The sequence below is a fragment of the Homo sapiens genome, chromosome 6, assembly GCF_000001405.40.
Source record: "Homo sapiens chromosome 6, GRCh38.p14 Primary Assembly".
NCBI classification, from domain to species: Eukaryota; Metazoa; Chordata; class Mammalia; order Primates; family Hominidae; genus Homo; species Homo sapiens.
The window spans coordinates 80,025,974-80,046,106 of NC_000006.12; the positions used below are offsets into that span (position 1 = coordinate 80,025,974).

Genomic DNA, 20,133 nt, shown 5'->3' on the forward strand with positions numbered 1-20,133 from the left:
TAGTATTTGTCTACATTTGAGGAGAAGGGAATAGAGTTTTATTGATTAAAGAAAGGCTGATTTTCAGAAACACAGGATACTATTTTAGATGATAAGAATTTAATACTTGTTACAATAGCTCTGATGGAAGAGAATGTTAAATTCTGTTTTAAGTAATTTTGTGTGCCTTCCCTGTACTTGCCATCAGTTTGAGCAGAATGCACTAGGCTTAAGAATTTGGAGTAAAATAACTACACTAAAAAAATTATTGAAAGTCTAAAATGTATATATATGCCTATCTCTTTTAGTATGCCTTTGTATATCATATGTTATTATTTTATTTTAAAAGTTATAATATTTGTAAAAACTAGTGAACAGGCAACTAATTTAAAAACTAAATCATGGTGTTCTTTATTTTGTTTTAGCAGAAACATACCACTTTTGAGCAACCTGTCTTTTCAGTTTCAAAACAGTCACCACCAATATCAACATCTAAATGGTTTGACCCAAAATCTATTTGTAAGACACCAAGCAGCAATACCTTGGATGATTACATGAGCTGGTAATTACTTTGGCCCCTTGCTTGATTGGCAGGGTGGTATGATAGAATTAACATGGGCTTCTGGGCCAAATAAATCTGGGATTAAATCCTGCTCTTTTACTTTAAAGACTTTCCATCTTCATATTATTTTTTCAGCATCAGTGTTTTCATCTATAAAATGGAAAGGGGGAAGTGGTTGCAATAATGCATATTTTTAAGGATTGTTGTGCATGTAGTTTCTGTCATATCGTAATCTGTACCTACAACCTATAAATATTCTAAGGATGTAAAACGTCTTGATAATCATGTATTGCCATACAGATATCTCTCTATTAAGAGAGAGATTTTAAAGGTTAGCATTCTTAGAGCAGATAAAGAGTAGATGAATTTTTTCACATAAGTGGTGTTAATTGGAAAGTGATAGCTTCTGGAAGAGATTGGTTTTTACAGTTCATGTAGTTCTGGAGGTATTCAAAGGTGTAGTATTTGAGTGAATAGGAATGATGGATAAGTGAAGAAGTTCGATGATGAGTGTGCTGATAGGGAACACAAGGGATACTACAAAAGAAAATGAATGACATTTCAGAGAAAGGAAATAAAGGGATGCGATACATTATAACCATCAACCGGTGGCTATATCTTTAATGTCTTAGGGGATAGCTTAAATCCGTGTTGTCTTTTGCGTTTCATTTTCATAATGTAATCCTTGATCTTAATTAGAACTGGTCTTAAAGATTTTATAACCCAGCCTCTTACCTACTTAATATAGTTTTACTATATATTGCCTCATTTTATTATATGTAGAATATTCTAAAGAATGATTGCTAACTAAAATAGCGATAATAGATATTTCTTGTGATACTAGGTTAATTATTGTTAACAAATATTTGTGGAGCTCTTTTGTGCCAAGCATTGTTCTAGGTGTTGAGGATATATTAATAGCAAAAAGGCAAACAAAGCACAAATGTATACTGGACAGATTTAAGCTCAAAGGCCAAACTCCTGTGATGTAATTGGCTTTCTGATATTTCTAGCAAGCCATTATAGAACATTATTGTTTAAAAAAAAACTCAAAATCTATGGCCGGCCACAAGCTGATGTTTGCTAAATTCATATAAAATAACCCTAACCACTTTGTATTTTAAATGCCATCTTTTCAAACAAAGATTTCTTGTCTGCATACAAATATTTACTTTCAGAAAGAATTCCCCAAAATTAAATATCCGGTGGTGGCATATCTGGAATAAGTGTCAGCTATATCATGAAAACTAACTTGGGTTCTGTTTGATGTAACACTTTTAAGTTTATATCAGTCTAAAATACATGAAACTGAATCAGACTTATTTGTTAAATTGTAATGTTTTAAATAAAAATATATATATATTTCCTAGTTTTAGAACTCCAGTTGTAAAGAATGACTTTCCACCTGCTTGTCAGTTGTCAACACCTTATGGCCAACCTGCCTGTTTCCAGCAGCAACAGCATCAAATACTTGCCACTCCACTTCAAAATTTACAGGTTCGATAAGCTTTATATATGATGGTATATGTTAAGATACAGTCCGTTTTACAGCTTTTATTTTTATAGCATCTAGTTATCAAGAAAGGTCTTAAGAACTTGGCCATTCTTATTTCCACTAGACAAAACTTTTCTGATATTCTAATAAGAGTGTGCCTTGTGGCTTTGAGAGGTTGGTTATTGAAGAAGCTTACGAAGCTACTCTTAATAACTAGGCCAAAGGATCCAGTTTGAATAGCTGGATAAAATTTCTCTTATGAATCAAGGTTACCTTTTATTTTTTATTTTTATTTATTTATTTATTTATTTATTTATTTATTTTTTGAGACAGAGTCTCGCTCTATTGCCCAAGCTGGAGTGCAGTGGCGCGATCTCGGGTGACTACAACCTCTGCTTCCCAGGTTCAAGCGATTCTCGTGCCTTAGCCTCCCGAGTAGCTGAGATTACAGGCACGCACCACCACACCTGGCTAATTTTTGTATTTTTACTAGAGACAGGGTTTCACCATGTTGCTCAGGCTGGTCTCAAACTCCTGGCCTCAAACCATCCGCCCGCCTCAGCCCCCCAAAGTTCTGGGGTTACAGGCATGAGCCACTGCGCCTGGCCAGCGTTACTTTTTGTTGTGTTTTGTCAGCTGCTAGTGAGCAGCTTCATTTTGTTTGTTAGTATACAATTCATTTGGAAATGTAAATTTTCAAAAATATCAGAATAGCAATATGAGGTACTGCTAGAATGTATTATACTAATAACTAAACTAAGAGGAAAGATTTTTTGCTGATGAGGCAAAAGTTGGTTTCTAGTAACTGTCCTAGAGGCAGCTTAATACTGGTAGAAAACATGGGCCTTGGAGACACTGGGCATGAATCTTAGCCTCACTACTTACAGTCTGTGTGATCTTTTGCAAGTTACCTAAATTTTCGGTGCCCATTTCATTATCTATAAAATTAGTAAAGCTAACTACCTCCTAGGATGGTTGTGAAGATTAAATTAGTTAATATAGACGTAACTCCTAATACAGAGCATGACACTTAGTAAATCAGAAATGTTAGTAGCAATTGTTATTTAAATAAAACAATAAAAAACCCATGAGTAATTAACTATAAAAATCAACTGATAAAAAAATTAGCTGACAGAATAAGAACAGTGGTTGTCAGGGAAGGGAGGAAGAATGGGGAGTTACTGTTTAATGGGTATAGAGTTTCAGTGGTATTTGCACCACCATCCATCACCAGAACTTTTTCATCATCACATACTGAATGTACTTAATGCCACTGAATTGTACCTAAAAATGGTTAAAGTGGTAAATTTTGCATTATGTATAATTTGCACAGTTTGAAAGAATAATGGACAAAATAATGAGCTGACAGTAGATACTAACTGGAAAGAGGTGATAGTGTTTTAAGGATTGAAACAATATAATAAATTACAAAGGAAAAACAAAAATGATCCAGTTTGTTCATGCATTGATTCAAAACACATTTATTTAGCTATTACTAGTGTCAGGCCCTGTTTGAGTTGCAATCCAGAAGACGAGTCACAGATGACAAGTGAAGGGGCTTGGTGGAGCCTTCTAGAAGAGGCCAGTGTCAGAAGAGAACTGAAACGAGGCCACAGTGTGGCTAGAGGTCAGGAAGGGGAAGGAGTGAGGCCCAAGGTTTGCTGGGCCCTTAAGTTTTACCCTAAGAGGGTGGGAAGCTTTGGAAGAGGTTGAAGCAGGGAAGTGAAATGATCCAATTTGCATTTTGGAAACTCTAACCACAGTGAGTAGGGCATACTAAGGGGGATGCGGGAAGTCCTGTGGAGGAAACCAGAGTTCACATTAGTGTTGAGTCAGAAATAAGAATTACTTTATTCTAAAAACTGTCAGCAGCCGTGGAGAAAGGACATTGAACTGCTTTCTTCCCTTGGCAATGTTCACAGTTTTAAATATGAAAGGAAGAAGACAGAGAAGGCACAAAAGGAGGAGTGGGGAAACCTTGATGAAATTACAACACATACATGTTTAGAAGCCCAATACTTTGTTACAGGAAATATATATAGACAATGTATCTCAATCCTAGAGGTGAAAAAATTAGAATACTTATCTTTTTATTTAAATAGGAGATTACATGAGAGATTCTACCATTTGGAACCTAAAGCAGGCCTTAGTTAAATTGAGGTTTATTCAGACCTTGTTTAACTTGGTTAATCAGCTAATCAGGAGGTCTTTTTGTTTCACCTTCTTTATCAGCTCAGAATAAGTCCTCTCAGCACTCCATCTGTTCAAAGCATTTATAGGTACACAGAGAGATCCTCCAATATAAGGGAAGGAATGATGGGGCTGGTTGTATAGTACATCAACTGAAAGTTTGCTGGGGAAGACGCTGAGGTTCTGAAAAATTAAGTAACTTGTTGAACATCACTCAGGACAAAGTTGGGGGCTGTATTAATGAGTTCTTACACTGCTATAAAGAAAAGAGGTTTAATTGGCTAATGGTTCCACAGGCTGTACAGTAGGCATGATGCTGGCAATCTGGTTGGCTTCTGGGGAGGCCTCAGGAAACTTTCAATCATGGCAGAAGGTGAAAGGGAGCAAATGTCACATGGCTGGAGTGGGAGGGAGAGAGAGAGTTGGGGGCAGATGCCACATACTTTTAAATGACCAGATCTCTTGAGAACTCTCAGAGAAGCACTGAGGAGGAAATCTACCCCCATGATTCAGTCACCTCTCACCAGGCCCCGCCTCCAACATTGGGAATTACAATTTGACATGAAATTTGACAGATCCAAACCATATCAGGGACATTGCTGAAATTTGCATTTGTCTCATTGACTTTGGAGCTCTTAGCACCTTAGCACATTGCTTCCTTTATAATATAACGCTAAATGAGAAAGAAGAATACAGATATAGCCGGATGGTAGTGGCATGCCTGTAATCCCAGCTACTCGGGAGGCTGAGGAGAAGAATCGCTTGATCCTGGGAGGCAGAGGGTGCAGTGAGCCGAGATCATGCCACTGCAGTCCAGTCTGGGAGGCAGAGTGAGATGCTGTCTCAAAAAAAAAAAAAAAGAAAAGAATGCAGCTATAATTATGTGTGTGTATATGTACATATGTAAGTAAAGAGGTATAAGGAAAAAGAATAGAAAAGAAAAATGAAAAATATAATTTTATATTTTATTTTTATATATATTTTTAAGCTTATAAGTTTGCAGATTGCATATTAAGTGGTTTTTTCCTCCTTAAATTTTCTTTTTAAGTCAAAACTAGTTAAAGGGGGAGACCTTGGAAGTTTGTCTACATTATTTTTTAAGGTTTTTTTTCTTTGATTAAGTAGAGCAAGTCCTTTTAAAAATATTGTAACATTTCTAATTAAGATTTAAGATAATTTCAAAATGGGGAGCAGTTGACTGTACCAAATGTAAGCTAGTTTCTTAGGTATATTGATTAACTTTTATTTATATATTTTACTTATTTAGGTTTTAGCATCTTCTTCAGCAAATGAATGCATTTCGGTTAAAGGAAGAATTTATTCCATATTAAAGCAGATAGGAAGTGGAGGTTCAAGCAAGGTAAGTATCTTAAAATATTTACGAAATAAATAAAAATATTTTAAACTTTCTGTTTTTTTGTCTTTTTACCTGTGAGGGCTGCTTTTCCTTTACTTCTAGGGGCGATGCTGCCCTTGAGCCAAAAAGCCATCTTAACACCTGCCTTTCTCTTCCCGCTGCCCCTCACATGTGACATATCCTCTTTAGATCTCTTATTCCCAGTCTTCTGCCTTTCCTTTCAATGTCCTGTGCTTCTAAACTTCTTCTTTAATAACAAAAACATTGACATGGGGTAGCGAATGACCACTATGTATTATCACAAAAGAATCAGAAATTTCTGAGTCAGAATGTGATGTAAATTGCTAATATGTTTAGAATCATTCAGCAAGGATTTTTACTAATGGATTTTGTTTTCTTTTGAGTTATTCATTTCAGAAACAGAATTCAGTAACAAATGAATTTCTGGAATTAGATTATTTTCTAAATTTACCTGAGTTCTAAATTTATATCGTTTTACATCTCTGGATAGAAGGCATCTTAAGCATTATCTAAATTTACCATCATTAATTGTCATTCAATTAAATCTACTTCCATTAGATTTTTGCCTTCATCACTCACCAGAATAACTGTAATCAAGAACACTAATGACCTCCATTTTTTTGCCAAATCTAATTCTTAGCTTAGATTTTGGATTACTTAGCATTTGGGACAACTGATTTTTTTTTTCGCAGTGAAGCTTTTTTCCGCACTTGGTTTGTGTTTTTCTCTTCTCAAACTGTCCATACCTATTGTCTTCTTCGTGTTACTGATCTCAGTGAAGCACTGCTCCGGGCTTAGTCCTCAGCATTCTTTCATCTTTTTCTTAAACTCATTCATTGGTGTTCTCTTTCAATCTTGTGGTTTCAAATAACATGTGTATGCTGACAATTCCCAAACTTGTATTTCCAGCTCATACCTCTCCTTTGAATTCCAGACTTGTATATTCAACATCGCTTCTTAGTGTCTACCAGGCATTTAAAACAATATGTCCAAACACAACTCTTGCTCCATAGCTTTTCCCATTTGAGTAAATGGCAGCTTCATTCTTCCAGTTGATTGAACAAAAAATTGGTGCCTCTTACTCTCATACACATATCTAGCCAATCAGCAGATCTTGTTAGTTCTACTTCAAAGTATCTCTAGAATCTATTTCTCACATCTCCAGCATTATTATTTTGGTCAAGGCAACTTTTGTATTTTCACCTAAATTACTTTAATAGCCTCCTAAAGGAATTCATTTACTCAGTCCTTGCCCTCCTGGTCTATTTTTTTAAATTGTATATTGACAAATTAGAGTTGTATATTTTTATGGGGTACAAAGTGGTATTAGCTTTTTAAATACAATATGAAATGATTAAGCTAATTAACATCTATTACCTCAATTATTTGTGTGTAATGAGAACATTAGCAATTGACTCTCTGCAATATTGAAATGTATAATATCCAATTATTATTTTCAGCATGCTATGCTAATCATCTAAAAAAAATCAAACTTGTTTCTCCTATTTGAGGCTTTGTATCCCTTCACCAACATCTCCCCATTTCTCTCAACCTCCAGCCTTTGGTAACCACCATTGTCAAAGGTAGTATGAGCTCTGCTCTATGAGTTTAATTTTTAGATTTCGCATATAAGTGAGAACATGAGGTATTTGTCTTTCTGTATTTAGCCTATTTCAGTTCCTCCTGGCTTATTTTAACATGACATCCTATTTTCCTCTAGATATCCTCATGTGTCTTCTCAGTTAGGCCTTCCTTGCCCACACTGTAAAACTTCAACTCCCACCTTTCAATCACCAGTGTTCTCCATTCCCCACCGGTTTGTTTTTCTCTGTATCTTACCTTCTAACATGTTCTGTAATTTACTTATTTGGTTTGTTGTTTGTGTCCCTCTGCACTTGAATGTGAGCTCCATGAAGATAGGGATGTTTTTCTGATTTGCTCAGTGATATTAGCCCCTGCATCCAGAACAGTACCTAGAACAGATAGGGATTGAATTTATTAGTTGAATTGAGTAAACTGTCTGTCCTCAGCTCTTTTGCTATTGTAAGTTGTTAAGGATGACACATTAAACAGACATTGTTGGACTCATTTTAAGTTTTACTGTAATTTCCTAATCCCACTAACAATAATTAGAATTGCATAAGGCTGTCTTATTAACTTACCAAAAATAAGGTATGTGCATTACCATGTGTATCAACTCTTCAATAAATATTGGTTTCATTATACATTTCCTTTTATCAATCTATTTGAATTACCTAATTTAATTGCTTTCGTAGAAATTACTTGGTTAATATTTATTATTTATTTGTTTTTTGGCTATATTTTAGTAGTATCAAGGTATTGAGACTTAATAGAGGTATTTATTTACTTGTATGTTTTCAGAGAATGTAGAGTAGTCTTAATGGCATTTTAACATTTTTTTCCTTGGAGTATAATGAAGGTGTAAGCTTACTTAAGTCAAGGGCCAAGTGATAAAGCAATGGCTGGCCCATATTTTCTGAATTCAATTAAATTATCATTTAAGTTAATTATGATAGAGTTGAAAAAAATCAAATGCCTCAAAGAAAGTAACATGCTTTATGAAACTAATACCATTTATGCTTTGCCTGTTTCAGAGTTTAGGCAGTGACCAACTTTTAAGGAGGCTATTGAGAGTATCTAGAACAGTCATGGGGTAATGAGAATGGTCAAGACACTGGTAACTTCCCATAAAACTAACAAATCACAACTCTGACACTATCTCTATGAAACTGAAATAAGGCTTACCTAAACCGGATTGCAAGAGTTTTGCCAGAACAGAGACAGTGGGGGCAATAATAAACTCATTCATGCAAAAATTGCTAAATCTAGGCACAATAGAGAAAACAACATCTGTGAATTGAATTGACTCTGTATCATAGCCTTTAGTCATCCTTAACTTTTTTATTTTTCCTTGAGACCGTGTCTCACTATTTTGCCGAGGCTGGACTCAAACTGCTGGGCTCAAGCAATTGTCCCACCTCAGCCTTCTGAGTAGTTGGGATTAAAGGAGCAAACTACTGCACCAGGCTTGTCCTTAACATTTTGGAAAGTCTTTTTCTTTATGCTGTTTCCCTGTTTAGGGCATCCAACAGATTGTTATATATATCTGAAGTTTAAACTTTTCTTACATGTTGATATAGAAACTTTAGATTTATACCTTTAAATTATTGAATGCCCATCATCATAGGTCATTGGGAATGGACTGTTACTCTGCTATCAGAATTATTTTTCTTCCTTCTACACTCAAAATAGGCCCAGAAACTTTTAATGTTCATGTCAGTATTTCCTTTAGAATTTTCTCAACCTAAAATCCTAATAAATTTAGAATCATTGTGTGATAGTGTATAAATAGTATATTCTAAACTTCTCTTTGTTCTACTCTGTAGGTATTTCAGGTGTTAAATGAAAAGAAACAGATATATGCTATAAAATATGTGAACTTAGAAGAAGCAGATAACCAAACTCTTGATAGTTACCGGAACGAAATAGCTTATTTGAATAAACTACAACAACACAGTGATAAGATCATCCGACTTTATGATTAGTAAGAATTCTTTTTAAATTTAAAAAGAAAACTTTTTGCCATAATTCTTCAGGTAAATATTTAGTAAACTTTAATATAACCTAGCCATTTATTGTTTTGTTGCTTTTATTTGTTTAATTGCAGTGAAATCACGGACCAGTACATCTACATGGTAATGGAGTGTGGAAATATTGATCTTAATAGTTGGCTTAAAAAGAAAAAATCCATTGATCCATGGGAACGCAAGAGTTACTGGAAAAATATGTTAGAGGCAGTTCACACAATCCATCAACATGGTATTTAACAGTTTTTTTATATTTGTAAGGTTAAAATCTTTGTTAATAGTGTCATCTTAGAGAAATATACCTATAATTTTAGGGCATTGGTTATTGGTGTCTTTAACGAGATCAACTAAATAATTAGAAGTTTATTTAAAGATAAAGGAACAAAACCATTTCTTAAAACACCGTTAACCCAAAGGATATAGGACATCAACTCAAGTTCCGACATCTGTAATACAAAATGTATTTTTCTCAGTATTAACGTAGTCTGTCATCCTTATCTCCAAATACTTGGATTATAGCAGGTCTAAGACTTTGGGGTTCAGGCATCCTGAAAATATGAGATGTTTACTTTATTCATTCTCCTAATCATTTTGTATTGTATGCCCTGTGTGAGAAGTTGGTTTTTTTGTTTGTTTTTTACTGTTAGGCCTACCTTCTGGGTTGGTTTTTACTTGTCCTTGGTTCTTTTTAGGGTTTTTCTCTGCCTTTACCTTATCCTATATATTTTTTTGTTCTTAATAACTGTTATCCTAGTTAATTGTAATTTATCTCCTCCTCATCTCTCTCTCTTAAATTATCTTAAAAGATAATTCACCAGTGATCAAGATCAGGGCTATAGGGGTGGAGATGTCAGGAGCATTAGGGTCTTACTGTCTGGCAGTATAATTTGTGATGCTCTCTAGTGGGCAGTGAATCACAGTGGTTAAGAGGATAGATTCTGAAGCCAGACTGTCTGGCTTCAATTCTAACTGTCACTTAGGCTGTGTGACCTTGTACAAGTTACTTAAACTCTCATTGCCTTAGCTTCCTTGCCTTATAGTGGGGATGATGATAATACTTCAGCATTGATGTGAAGATTAAATGATGCAGTACTGTATAAACAATGAACTTAGAACAGTGCCTGGCACATAACAAGTGCTATGTAAATATTTGCAGAATATATAAAAAAATTATTGAATTGGGTTCACTAATTGAAGGAATAAATACAGCTTGACCTGTAGACTGTGAATTTTTTGGTCCTTAGAATGTTTTGCATTGTTTAATATTACAGTGGATTTTTATTTTAAAGGCATTGTTCACAGTGATCTTAAACCAGCTAACTTTCTGATAGTTGATGGAATGCTAAAGCTAATTGATTTTGGGATTGCAAACCAAATGCAACCAGATACAACAAGTGTTGTTAAAGATTCTCAGGTAAGACTTAATGTTGGTTCTCTCACAGTAGAGTTCAATTCTTTTTTTACCTGTGAAGTATTATATTGCAAATGAGTGTTATATTTTTAATCACCTCATTCTTCAAAGGATTTGAAGTCTTTTAATAAGAATAGATTTAAAAATATAAACCATGATCATTGTAATGTAGAATAGAAAGTCAAGATCAAATAGTAATATCTCCAGCAATTGTGAATGGTTTTCCTATAGCTGAAGTAGAGAAACAGTAATACCTTCCTTGGAAATCACTTGGTCGTGATCAAAAATTGACCTGAAAATTTGGCTCAGAGTTTCCTTGTAGCAAAGAGGGAGTTGCAGTTATATGTTTTTCACTGTCTATGAGGTAAGATCATTTTTATTCTTCTAGAGAAGCCGACCTTTTCCTATCACTGAAATTGGAAAAAAAATTCTTAAGTGGGCCTTCATATTGTAAATGCCATAAGTATTATAAGCAACATTTTTATAATAGATATTGCAACAGCAAACTAAAAGACGTTGTTCTATAAAAACTAAAGCAATGGCACCAAAGTATATCTAAAAGATATTCTTGCTTGGAACCAAGATGATATGTTCCATGTTTACAGATTTTTGATGTGAGTCCACCTTAATCCCAGGAGTAAAATAGACTTTGTTAGGAGGAATGATGGACGACATGCCCTATTTGACAGTCATGTCTCTTTGTATCAAAAGTATGGCAGATCAATGAGTTGTAAATCAGCTTGACAATATCTTCCATGTCAAGGCCCTAAAGTAGATATATTCTGTGTTTAAAGCAAACCATGTATTTTAGAAGAAAATGAGCTCATTGTAAGGTTGGCATATCCTACTGTAGAAACTCAGAGGACTACTGTGAGACAAAGCTAGATGGTATTTTTGTTTGTATATTGGTGGGCTTATTTAAAAAATATATTTTTTTAAAGTTGAGTATGTTACAACAAGAAACGAATGGTAAGTCCCTCAATGGCCTCAAAGTTTATGGCCATTAATAGGATTTTAGCCTGGAGAGTTTTTAGGGCAGGCTTTACTAGTTGCCCAGTATAATCATAGAAAAAGCACAGCATTCTGAAAGGAGTCACTTTGCTGATTATGAACCCAACTCGTTTTGCTGCAGTTGTGAAGAAATTTGATATATATATCTTAACGTTGTCAGCAGTTATTTGAAATTTGCAAGGATATCATTGAAATTTATAATTACCCAAGTTTCCAAGGATCTGGCATTTGTATTTTTAAGAATCTAAAACTTAAAGTATAATAATAATAATAATAATAATAATAATAATCTCAAAAAAAAATCTAAAGCAGAATTAAATATTTTCATTGATTTGTGTTTTCTCTGACTTGGCATATAGGTTGGCACAGTTAATTATATGCCACCAGAAGCAATCAAAGATATGTCTTCCTCCAGAGAGAATGGGAAATCTAAGTCAAAGGTACTGAAAAGATTATTTACATCACAATTATCTGGCAACAGTAGGGAATGCACTATTTTCTGAATAAACTTACCAGATAACAATTTCTTTAAGTTCTAAAACTTTTTAGGCCATTACAGAGACATTGCTGGTTTTTTTCGTTTCCAATTCTTACTATTTTTCACCACTTATTCGTTTGTGAATTCTACATTTCCAAGTACAGCTGGAGAATGTAATTGTTTTCTGGCCTGCCACTGGCTACTTTTCCACTGACTTTATCTCGCTACCTCGATGAGTTTGCGTTAGCCTCATGGGTGCCCTTTGTCCGGGGCTCCTTTTGCCTACCTTGATGCCTTGGGCTCCCAGGCTAACCCTTCTTTCTCTACATCAGTGTAACCAAGTGGGTGCAAGCACACATTGTCCCAGGGACCTGTATTCATTCAAGTCATAGATCTGCCTCTTCATTAACAACTGTCTTTGGCCAAGTGACTTGCCTAGTTTCCCTGTCTCTAAATTGTGCCTATAGACAGTGCCTATTGTAAAATAAATTGAGGATTAAATGGGAAAGAATATATAAAGTACTTAGTACATTTATCCAGCTCAGAATCATTGCTTGATAAATGTGTTTTTATTTACTAAATTTTATTTTCCTCCTTAGAAAATCTGGCTTGTAAGTGTTTTTCAAATAACTGGCATACAATTTTGCCAAATGTTTTCATAAAATTCTTTTTATATTTGTTTAGCCTCCACTCTTCTAAAACTTAAATTTCTTGTGTTTTTATTAGACTTTCTGTGGTTTTGTTCTTCTTAAATAAGCAGTTCCTGACTTCATTTATCAACTCTATTTTCATTTGCTTTACAACTTGAGTACTTGTGATAACCAGAAACTTTTCTCTATGATTAACCATATTTATGGTTTATCATTTAATGCCCATGACAATGTACTTTTATAATTTCTATATCAGAGTTGAGAAAACAGACACATAGCATTACCAGTTAGTAACACATCTTCAAGATATGTTAAAGGTAATATTAATTTCATATAACTAATTATTTACTTGAAATAGCTGAAATGATTGGAATTGTGTAATTGGCTTAGATATAACTATTCTATTTAAAAGAATTGCTAACTGAATTAGTTTTTTACTTTGAAGATGTTTTAAAGCTTGTAAATACTTGAGGATTTTGGACACAAGCTCCGCATAGTTCTATAGTATATGTGCTTGGGTTTAAAGTTGTATTGCTTATTTATTATTTCCAATGGTCTTGTCTGAAGGGTTGCATAATTTAAGCAACCTTTGAAACTGTATACATACTTTGTACTTATATAAAAATTTATTATAATCCAGTAATTCTGGGGAAAACAAACTTAAAACTTACATTTTTTAATTTTATATTTTCACAAGTTGGGAAGAATTTAATATTTTGTCTTAATTGCAATATTTTAATTATGAGGTTATAGAAAGATTTAAAGTAAAGCTCATATCTTCTGATGGAATAACCAACTGAAATGAAAACTAGAAAAAGATGTTTTGTCATGTTAACATAATGTAGTACACATTCATTGAGATTTAATTATGATTTTAAATATGTATATTTAATATATATGTTTTTTCATTTTATATGAAAATAACAGCAACTTTTTTGTGTTTGTTTGTTTTTTTCTTAGATAAGCCCCAAAAGTGATGTTTGGTCCTTAGGATGTATTTTGTACTATATGACTTACGGGAAAACACCATTTCAGCAGATAATTAATCAGATTTCTAAATTACATGCCATAATTGATCCTAATCATGAAATTGAATTTCCCGATATTCCAGAGAAAGATCTTCAAGATGTGTTAAAGGTAATATTAATTTCATGTAACTAATTATTTACTTAAAAGAAATAGTTGAAATAATTGGAATTATGTAACTGGCTTAGATATAACTGTTCTATTCAAAAGAATTGCTAACTGAATTAGTTTTTTTACTTTGAAGATGTTTTAAAGCTTGTAAATACTTGGGGATTTTGCAAAAGTGCCTTGGGAGAAATAATCTTGTCATAATACTTTAGTGGGATATCTAAAAAGTAACTTTTATAATATAATGTAATCTGGAAAAATACTTTATCAATATCATATATGAAAACCTGCTTTGTTTTTCTTTTAAAATATCTTTGTTTTAATAGTGTTGTTTAAAAAGGGACCCAAAACAGAGGATATCCATTCCTGAGCTCCTGGCTCATCCATATGTTCAAATTCAAACTCATCCAGGTACTACTTCTTTAAAAATTTGTTTATTACTAGATTGGTAGTATAAACAGTCTGTTACCTATTAATATAACAAAGACAGAATCTAAATTGGCTACCCTTTGTCAGCCTGCCTTTTTCCTTAAGGAAGTTCCATTATTATAAATAGTAAAGTAAATAAACTTTTTTTTCTTTACTTCTGGTATTTATTTTTACTTATTCCAGATAACGGGTTATAATCAGTGATAAATTATAAGAATATCACTTTGTGCTATTAAACAAAATGTGTATTTACAATGGACTTATATTTTTCTTACTGGTACTAGTGTATTATTGATTTATTTTATAGTTAACCAAATGGCCAAGGGAACCACTGAAGAAATGAAATATGTTCTGGGCCAACTTGTTGGTCTGAATTCTCCTAACTCCATTTTGAAAGCTGCTAAAGTAAGTATGTCTATTCTTTACATTAATTTTTACTGTTTTATATAGTGAATTCGACACTTAAGGAAACAGGTAGTCTGAAGAAAAGTTGGTCCAATCATCAGATCAGTTATGAAACATGTTTCTACATTTAGATACTTAACATGTGCATTTTGACAAATATCGATTTACTTGATTTATATTCTTCTTCTGCATACAGTACAGTTCAAAGTAGATCATCACATAAGGTGCATTCAAAAGATTGCTGTCACGTCTCAACTGGAATACATTTAATATAGGAATATAGTGTGTCTTTTAATTCAGCACCATTATTAATACAGCTTTTGAATTCATTCCTTTTAGCCAGTTTTTTCCTTAGAGACATTACATGTAATGGCTTTTTTGAAGCTGTACACAGCAATCAACACAATTCTCAAAGCACAAGTCTCAAGCTTTTTAGCTTCCCAATGTCCATTTATATCTATACCATGATTTTTCAAACACCTAGTTATTTCTAGAACCCTGTGAATGCTTATTGACCAACTGATTTAGCCAACAAGCAGTTACTAATTATGTATTTCAGTTACAACATTATCATAAAATTATGGGAACCTAAACTATCAATACTCGTAGCTCTCTGGATACATATAAAATCCATCTAAGTTGCCAAGAACTTGAATACATTTTTTGAAGGAATTTACTATATATTCACTATATTTGCATTTATATGATATGAGGTACCTGTTTTCTTAAATTTTCTCAAATGCTAATGGCTAAATCAATGGATTTAGTAATTAAAAGTGGACCAAATTTGTTTTGTAATTGCTCTGTATTTTGTATCTCCATGTTTTAAGTTTATACTAATATATTATTCAAAGCCTCTTATAGCTATAGTTGAGGTGGATTATTTTTATAACTGAAGTTGTATGTTCCTTGAGGGCAAAGATGTCTGCCATCTTCATAAGTTAGATGTTAGCTGAGTCTTAAATCATTTTTAAATACATGGATTTTAATATATATCTAATTATTATATTTATATAATTTGTAATGTCTTCTATTTATTAGCTTATTATCATCTGAGAATATAAAGTTTCCTAATAAATATATTTTGTATAGGAATTTACCTAAGACTGGCTTTATTTAAGAAAAAGTAAAGAGATAAAGAAGGCCTTGAAGGCTCATATGTATGTTTATTAGTAGCTCTGTTATATTTCTCTCATAGAAAGATTGAGTTATATCTCATGATAGGTAATGCTTAAGGCCAAGCTTCGTGTTTAAAATTCTTTATTATCTCTAATAGTTTATAAAATAATTTCCCAACTGTAAGAACAAGAGAGAAATAAATGTATTATATTTAGAATACATCAAAATACATCTACTGATGTGACAGTACATTTAACTAAAAAATTGCAAAACAGATTTGTGTTTTTTAATTTCAGACTTTATATGAACACTATAGTGGTGGTGAAAGTCATAATTCTTCATCCTCCAAGACTTTTGAAAAAAAAAGGGGAAAAAAATGATTTGCAGTTATTCGTAATGTCAGATACCACCTATAAAATATATTGGACTGTTATACTCTTGAATCCCTGTGGAAATCTACATTTGAAGACAACATCACTCTGAAGTGTTATCAGCAAAAAAAATTCAGTAGATTATCTTTAAAAGAAAACTGTAAAAATAGCAACCACTTATGGCACTGTATATATTGTAGACTTGTTTTCTCTGTTTTATGCTCTTGTGTAATCTACTTGACATCATTTTACTCTTGGAATAGTGGGTGGATAGCAAGTATATTCTAAAAAACTTTGTAAATAAAGTTTTGTGGCTAAAATGACACTAACATTTCAAAGTTGTAAGGTTGTTTTCTTTAAGCAAATGTATTGTTGGCATGGCAGCAAAATTCTTAATTAGTAAAAAGTAGATTAGGGAAGATGTGAGACTAGACCTTAGTAAATGAACTTTGAAAAACAAATCCTGAAGGGTTTGAATTCCAAAATAGACTTCCTAATTATTTCCGGCACCGATAACAGTCTATAATTTTAGGACTGAACTTGGCTCTTTCAGATATTCATAACGTCTGTTGTTTTTGGTATTTAGAATATCATGCTGGATTCTGTGTTGTAAGCTGTATAGGGCATGCCCTCACTGTATGACTTGCTAGGTAATGGATAATTGTAAATGTGGCCCCAGAGTCTCTTGACTGAATCTGATAGCTTAAAGTATCCTCACATAGCATCCTTTTCTCAATTTTTAAAAAAAGATTTTAAGAGATTTTATTTTTTATAGCAGTTTTAAGTTCACAGCAAAATTGACCAGAACGTACAGAGTTCCCATGTATCCTTTCCCCACCCCACCCCCACACATGTATAACTTCCCTTGCTATCAGCATCCACCATATCAACATTCCACACCACAATGGTACATTTATCACAGTCCGTAAACCTACCTTAACATATTATCACCCAAAGTCCATAGTTTATATTGGGGTTCACTCTTGGTATTGTATATTCTTTAGGTTTTGATAAATATTTAATGACATTTATCTACCATTGTAACATGATACAGAATAGTTTCACTGTCTTGAAAGTCCTCTGTTCTTTGTCCCTTCATCCTTCCCTCTACCCTAATGCCTGGGAACCACTGATCTTTTTACTATCTCTGTAGTTTTACTTTTCCAGAATGTGACCGTCACGTAAGTGGAATCATACAGTCTATAGCCTCTTCAGATTGGCTTCTTTCACTTAGCAACATGTCTTTTTATGGCTTGCTAGCTTATTTCTTTTTAGCACTAGTTAATATTCTATTGTCTGGATGTTCCACAGTTTATCTCTTTATCTGCTGAAAGATACCGTGGTTGCTTCCAAATTTGGGGAATTGTGAATAAACTTGCTATGTGCATGCTTTTGTCTGGACCTAATTTTTTTTAGCTCTTTTGGCTAAATACTCCTTTGGGACCAAGGAGTTTAACTGCTAAAATCTATGTAAGAGTGTTTAGTTGTGTAAGAAAGCACCAAACTGTCTTCCAAAGTGGTTGTACTGTTTTGCGTTTTCACCAGCAATGTTTCAGAGTTCCTGTGGCTCCATATCCTTTCCAGCATTTGATGTCTGTGTTTTGGATATGGGGCATTCTAATGGGTTGGTAGGGGTATCTCATTTTAATTTGCATTTCCCTAATGACATGATTTTGAGCATCTCATTTCTATATGCTCATTTGCATCTGTGTATCTTCTTTTGCCCATTTTTAAATTGGTTCATTTTCTTATTGAGGTTTAAGAGTTTTGTGTATTTTGAATAACAGTCCTTTATCAGATGTCTTTTGCACATATATTCTCCCACTTGTGGCATTTCTTCTCATTCTCTTCATTCCCAAATTTGTAACTATGGTTATTAGTTTTCAGAATTATTGGTTTTAAGTTAATGTAGTGTAATAGGTAAGTAGTAAGCTTAAACAGGAATTCTGCAAACCACACTTATAGAGAAAACATGGTAAAAATTCAACTTGGAAGTCAGGCATTTGTCTACATGTGTTCATTGAGAATACTGTTGATTTTTTTCTTTTTAAAATTATCTTGAAATTTAATGTGCATATAAACAATTTTTTTTAATACTTGTTTAGAGTTAGAAATTCTCTTATGGGGAAAAGCATCGTTTTGTCTATTGCTTCAATGGGTTCTTGATGAAAGTGTCTTGTTTGTTTTACAATTACTAACCTATAGTCAGAATCAGTTAATGTTTTGAAAATACATTTTTAGGAAAGCATTGGCTACTTTTTGCCCTTGGAGTTTTCATATCAATTTTATCAGTTCATTAAATTCCACACACAAAATAATCATGTTGTGATTATTTTGTGTGTGGAATATTATCTTTGTCTTTGTACTAGTCATGGTACTTGAGGGAAAAAAAGCAAGCATATGAGGTTTCCTATAATGGCGTCTTCCAAAGATGGATTTCCAAATGCAGAGAAGATTTTTGCTTGCTTATACCAGATCCCAGAGGCTTACCTAGGGCTAGAATATTCCAAGTTCAAAGCTTGAGGTTCTCAGAACCAGGTGATGCAAAATCAGGTTAAAATCCACTTGGTTTATTTCTAGAGGACACTTGTCCAGGGAGGTCAGCCCTTCTGGTTCCAGCTTAAAGCAAATGTCAGGTGTGTCTTTCCTCCTTAGGAAGTTCCTGGATTTTGAGTCGTTTATCATACTCTACCAGGTTGCCAAACCTATACCTCAGTTTCACAGATGTTTCTTCTAAAGACAAATGCTCTGTTGTGCTTACCTCTCTGGGTTCTCATCTTCATTAATGTTTGGATTCCATAATTTCCCACTAATTTGAAAAACTAAAATTCATGCCAATTTATATTCCCACTATCAGTATTAAGAACTCATTGGTCTACATACAACATCTTTTATACTTAATATTGTCAGAATTTAAAGGTTTTTGCTGTCTCATAGGTATAAAATAGTATTTTTGCAGTGTCTTTAATTTTTTGTTTAGCAATGAGGGTGGGCATTTTGCCATATGTTTATTGACCATTCTTTTTTGTTTTTTTTTTTTCTTTCTATCACTGAAAAGCCAGGTTCTTACTCTCTGGTATTCATATGTTTCATGTCATATTTATTTTTGTATTACCTTTTTTTATTTCTTTATAAGTGTTCTTTGTATTACAATTACCTATAGTCAGAATCAGTTAATGTGTTGAATATACTTTTAGGAGAGTATCGGCTATTTTTGGCCCCTTGAGCATTCATATCAATTTTATCAGTTCAGTAAATTCCATACACAAAATAATCATGTTGAGGCCAGGCATGGTGGTGGCTCATGCTAGGAATCCCAACAATTTGAGAGGTTGAGGCAGGGAGAGTCCTTGAGGCCAGGAGTTTGAGACCAACATGGGCTACATAATCAGATCCATTAGTTGCAAAAAATGAAAATAAAAAACAATTAGCTGGGTGTGGTGGTGCAGCATATCTATAGTCCTACCTTTTTGGGAGTCTGAGGCAGGAGGATCAGTTGAGTCCAGGAGTTTGAGGCTGCAATGAGCTATGATTATGCCACAGCACTCCAGCCTGGGTGACAGAGTGAGCTCCTGCCTCCAGGAGGTAAATACAAAAAATACAATAAATAAAATAATTTTAAAAATCATATCGAGATTGTATTTATAGTTTCATAGAACATTTAGGTCATTTAGAGATAATTGCCATTTTATGATATGAGTCTTCCTATCAATGAACATGATATAGTTCTCAATTTATTTAGGTCTTCTCTTACAATTCAATAAACTTTATACTTTTTTTATACAGGTCTTTCACATCTTTTGTCGGCTTTATTACAAAAGCTCTGTTGCTGTTGTAAATAGTATCTTTTAAAAATTACCTTTCTTAATTTTCTGTTCTTTTATAGCACCATAATTGGTTTTTTAATTTAATT

The 20,133-nt window shown here is 33.4% G+C and overlaps 1 protein-coding gene across 5 annotated transcripts in view; it reads left to right on the forward strand.

The window, feature by feature from the left end:
- TTK (TTK protein kinase) overlaps positions 1 to 16,554 on the forward strand; it is a 37,879-nt gene extending 21,325 nt beyond the window's left edge. For 3 of the 5 annotated variants that reach the window (NM_001438341.1, NM_003318.5, XM_017011242.3), the window contains exons 12-22: positions 405 to 541; positions 1,912 to 2,038; positions 5,494 to 5,586; positions 9,012 to 9,169; positions 9,293 to 9,444; positions 10,502 to 10,626; positions 11,994 to 12,074; positions 13,723 to 13,899; positions 14,223 to 14,307; positions 14,633 to 14,730; positions 16,146 to 16,554. In NM_001438341.1, the coding sequence (NP_001425270.1) occupies positions 405 to 541; positions 1,912 to 2,038; positions 5,494 to 5,586; positions 9,012 to 9,169; positions 9,293 to 9,444; positions 10,502 to 10,626; positions 11,994 to 12,074; positions 13,723 to 13,899; positions 14,223 to 14,307; positions 14,633 to 14,730; positions 16,146 to 16,229 (1,317 nt within the window). In that variant the 3' untranslated portion in view covers positions 16,230 to 16,554. The remainder of the gene's footprint in view (positions 1 to 404; positions 542 to 1,911; positions 2,039 to 5,493; positions 5,587 to 9,011; positions 9,170 to 9,292; positions 9,445 to 10,501; positions 10,627 to 11,993; positions 12,075 to 13,722; positions 13,900 to 14,222; positions 14,308 to 14,632; positions 14,731 to 16,145) is intronic. The other 2 variants (NM_001166691.2, NM_001437890.1) reach the window with 1 other exon arrangement.
- Positions 16,555 to 20,133: the final 3,579 nt, after the last annotated feature.